The 4,660-nt window shown below is 40.2% G+C and overlaps 1 annotated feature.

The window, feature by feature from the left end:
* Window positions 705-1,904: an enhancer, noted in NCBI's record as "MED14-independent group 3 enhancer chr8:50291207-50292406 (GRCh37/hg19 assembly coordinates)". NCBI's record gives its function as "activates an origin of replication core promoter dependent on BRD2, BRD4, P300/CBP and CDK7 cofactors, and independent of MED14, by STARR-seq in HCT116 cells {active_cell/tissue: HCT116}" and the evidence as "EXISTENCE:reporter gene assay evidence [ECO:0000049][PMID:35650434]".

A 4,660-nucleotide genomic window follows, 5' to 3' on the forward strand; every position in this document is an offset into this window, starting at 1 on the left:
AAGAATTGAAATGAAACAGGGTAGGAAATGTTTTTCAATTATGAATTAAGTCCACACTTAGCTAAACTTTGAGAAACTACAACTTTTCAAGCTTAGTGTAGTTATCAATGAAAAAAATCGACAATTATCCAAATTGGTTATTAAAATACTCTTCTTCTCTCAACTGCGTATCAGTGTAGGCCTTATTTTCACTGCTCCAGCCAGAACCACATCCTGCAAAAGGTTGGATGCAGAAGCACACATCAGAATCTAGTTGTGTACTAGTAAGCCTGACATGATAGAAATTTGCGAGAGTGTTAAACAGTGCCACTCTCCACTAATCTTTGGAGGAATCATTATGGTTTATTTCAAAAATACCTTATGCATGTTAACATGTAAATTCCTTATTATTGTCATTAAACCTTTTTAATTTTTTGAAAAACTTTAGTTTTAATTCAGAATATAGTGAATATCAACCCCTGTAATTCATGTACATAAAATCTTTTGGGGGTACTGAGTAATTCTAATATGTGTAAAGGGGTCCCAAGAACACAAAGTGTAAGAACCACTGATTTAGACCACCCACACTTTCAAGAGTTTAATAATGAAAATGGAAGAGAAAATCGGAGTGATAACAGGTAGGGATAACTGGTAGTGATACAAGATTTTTTACTCCTTAGCTCAGCTAGGTTCAGGTTCTTGTCTCTTGCCAGGAAACATTAGGTGTGTGGACACCAGAGAGTGAGTGGTGTAGAATTTTTTAAGCAAAAGGAAAGCTCTCAGCAAAGAGAGGAGTCCTGAAAGCAGATTGTTGGTTGCCCCTCACAGTTGAATACAAGGGCGTATATAAATATAAGCTGATGAGGCTGGGTTCCCTATTTGTATAAGGAATGAATTCTTGGTGGCTCCACCCACTTCCCCCAGTGTGCATGCAGGCCCTTAGTCCTCTGCAGGCATGTTTAGGCAAGCCCCCTGTGCAAGTGCCCTTATCTGCATAAAACATCTGACGTAAGCACTTTTGGGGCAGGTCGGAGGTTCTCCGGAGACCCTTCCCTTACTGTATGCTTAAAGCAAGCTGGCTAACTTCTTTCAGTAGGGATATAAACTTCTTCAAAATAATATTTATTTTTGTCTTTAAAGGTAGGACAGACTTAATTATACTTGAATACCCACGGGAAGGAGCAAGTAGAGAAGAAGGAGCTAAAAATATAATAAAAGAGGAGGAAAACAATACATGACACTTCAAACTCCTCGAAAATTTTATTATCCTGAGCATACCTGGCATCCACACCCTCATGTGGTTTCTCAAATCATGCTCCAGTGAAAGGAACCAGAGTTCTAACTGGCTCAACTCAGGCTGGTTGGGAAAAATGCAAGAGTCCAGGGCACCCTGTGGCAACAGAAAAATAAGGAAGCACTCATAAAAGGATGGGATGTTAGAGAGCTACAAGAACCAGCCTGATAGTACTCCCAGTGGCCAAACCTGGAACAATTTGGACCATAAAATAAACAATGGCAATACTGGATTAAAACCTATAGAGTACATAAAACTGAAATCCAGGAATCCAAACTGATTTAAATAAGTGATTGAATAAATAAATAAATAAGTAAGGGAAAAGGGATATTTCTCCTGTTTATGAGCATTCTATTAAGAAACATGAAGAATGAGAGAAATTAAAATCACCATCTCGGGCAGAAACAAGATATTTGCAGTCTCAGAATATCTGCCCCCAAAATATTATTAATTACAGAGTGAAAATATTTACTGTACAGTTGAAGAGCCCAGCAGATACTTCCTTGTCTATGTCAGCAAGGGTACATTGTTGGTACTGTGAATTATGCCTCTGATGTAGTGAGCATGTACATCATCTGTTGGTGATATTCTTTCTAGTAAATGTCGAACCTGAATTTAGTCATGAGAAAACAGCAGACAAATCTATATTGAGGGACACTGTACGAACTAATTGAACAGGACTATTTAGAAGTGTTAGTCATGGAAAACAACATGGTGAGCGGACCGCCCCTCCCCCACATGCATGCCCTAAGCCCTGGATCCAGCAGATGTGAACTTACTTGGCAACAGGGACTTGGCAGATGTGAAGCTGTGAGATTACCAGCCTTAAAGTGGAGAGGTTTTTCTGGATTCACGAGCTATAGCCAGTCTAGTCACATGGATGTTTAAAAGGTCAGAGCTTTGTGCACCTGTTAGAAAGCTGCTACAAGTGCAGGACCTAAGGTTGGAGAGACTCCAAGTGTGAGGAGGATTTGATGCACTGTTGATGACGCTGAGATGACAGGCTATGTGCCAGGACCAGCGAGAGATCACCAAGAGTTCAGGAGAGCCCCCTGCTCACAGCCAGCAGGGAAACTGGCCTCAGTCTTACAACCACAAAGAGGTGGTTCCAGCAACCACCTAAATGAGCTTGAGGCTGACTTTTCCCAGAACCTTTCAGTAAGAGCTGAGCTTGATTTTCACTGGTAAAATCCAAGCAGAAGAATCAGTGGAGACAACTTACCTACAGAACTGTAGGAAAATAAATTTGTGTTTTTAAGGTGTTAAGTTTATTAAAAGTTCTAATAGCAGCAACAGAATATAAATGCAGACCAGGGAAGACTGAAGAACTGTCATGGAATGGGAGAGACTGAGGAGACTTGATGATCACATGCAGGGTAGGGTCCTAGACCAGAAAAGAGCATCAGTGGGAAGAAGGGCAGAATCCAGACAAAGTCTGTAGTTTAGCTGATAGCGTTATACCAACAGTGAGTTCTTAGTTTTGACAAATACATCATGGTTATAAAAAACGTTAACAATAAAGAAAGCTGTGAAGCATTCACAAGCGTTCTCTTCACTGGTTTCAACATTTCTATGTCTAAAATTGTTTAAAAGTAAAATGTTAAAAAAGTCTATTATTCCAAGTCTTAAGTTTCCTGAAGACATCCATGACCCCTGAGACCCTTCCCACTTCTGAACTCCTTATATTTTCATTCTTAGACTGTATATTCATTGAACTAACTTATTACATAAAGCACTTTAAGATGAATAGTGCGGAGACTCTCATACAGTTTCTCCTTTTAGTGAAATAATATTGTTTGCATAAACACCCTTTGGCAAAAAGGTGTGTTCGTTTGAAGGCTGCTCCTAGTTCCCTCCTCCCGGTAAGCCCAGTCTTGCTAATAATGCAGGCTTCTACACAGATGGTTTTTATTCACATGTCAGATGGAGTCATTCGAGTAACAGATTTAAAACATCTGCACCTCTTTAAAGGGAGTTATAGATAAGAGTAATAGATCTATTATATGTTTGTATAGTTTTTTATGACAAATAAAGGTAAATATTAGATAATTTTAAACAGTTAAACACAGATTGGGACCTCTTATTTGTAAGGCTTTTGATATGATTTTTTTATTCCAGACGATCTGCTACGATTTGCTTACATTAATCAGTAAATATTTATTTAACATCATTTATTCAATGACCAATAGTTAACCCAACTTTTAAAAAGATCAAAGAGTATCACAGTATAAATTTACTGATTACTTGAAGACAAAACATCTAAATTAGTAAAATAGCTACGTTGTGTAGTTGTTTTTAGGATTTTGATGGCTATACCTTCCATGTTGTGAATTCTAATTCAAGTGTTGATCTGCTTATTTAAGGAGTAGTATCCTGCTGATCCTTGCCAGCCCATGGCTGAGGCCAGATGACAACAGAGCACAGAGACTAGGCTAGAGGAATGTGAGGGTCCCGGGCACACAGGCAGGACTGCATCCAGGTACAGATTTTAACCAGCACAGACCTGTTGAGCACCAAGGATCTGAAGGCAATGATAATATAGTCGCTTTCTTTCAATGCTTTATAGCCCAGGGAGGAGACCTACATGTGAGCAGATGATTACATTACAAAGCAAAAAATGTTGTGATAAGGATTTAATTAAGGCACTATGGCAGCACAGTGGGGACAGATGCCATCAGGGATGTATCCAGAAAGAAGAGGAATCTGGATTGCATCAAAGGATGAACACGGGCCATCCACACAGAAAGGGAAAGAAGCATGTCGCAAGCATGCCTGAATAGGGAGAGCTGGGCCGCAGCCTCACTCTTGCTTGCAAAGAATCTTGCTTGCCATGGCAACAGCAGGAGCCCAGGCTTAGAAAAGAATGTATGAAAACAGCCCTCCCCGTGGCCAGGTGCACCCCTGGAGTCATCCGGTCCCTGGAATCTTGGACTTTGACTTCCCTACATTTGATACAACCATAAACAAGGTATAGAAATCAAGTTATATGAGGGACAGTATAGATCAATGCATCTATTTCATGTGTCAGATGCAAGGAAAGGTCAGTGGATTCACAGATATCGACTCATCCTACACCCATATGATGCATCCTGGGAAGACAGAGGAGCAGTGGAATTCCCAAACAAATAAGCTAGGCCTAAGAAAGTGAAAGTAGACACCTATTGGCTAAGGTGAGGCAGACGTCCTAGATTGGGAGGCAGGCAGCAAAAAGATGCTTGGCAATGTGACAGTTGTAACAGGCTGACAATTGCCTCCAACTAAAATGTTTCTGGAGTTTAAGAGGAATTCATTATCTATTGCTTTGGGGTGTTTTGCATCTACACAAAGTGATAAACTGGGTGGCCGAGTCATACTGCAAAGGTCCCAACACTTTGCAAGGCCGAGGCG

This window comes from Homo sapiens, chromosome 8, assembly GCF_000001405.40.
Source record: "Homo sapiens chromosome 8, GRCh38.p14 Primary Assembly".
Classification (NCBI taxonomy): domain Eukaryota; kingdom Metazoa; phylum Chordata; class Mammalia; order Primates; family Hominidae; genus Homo; species Homo sapiens.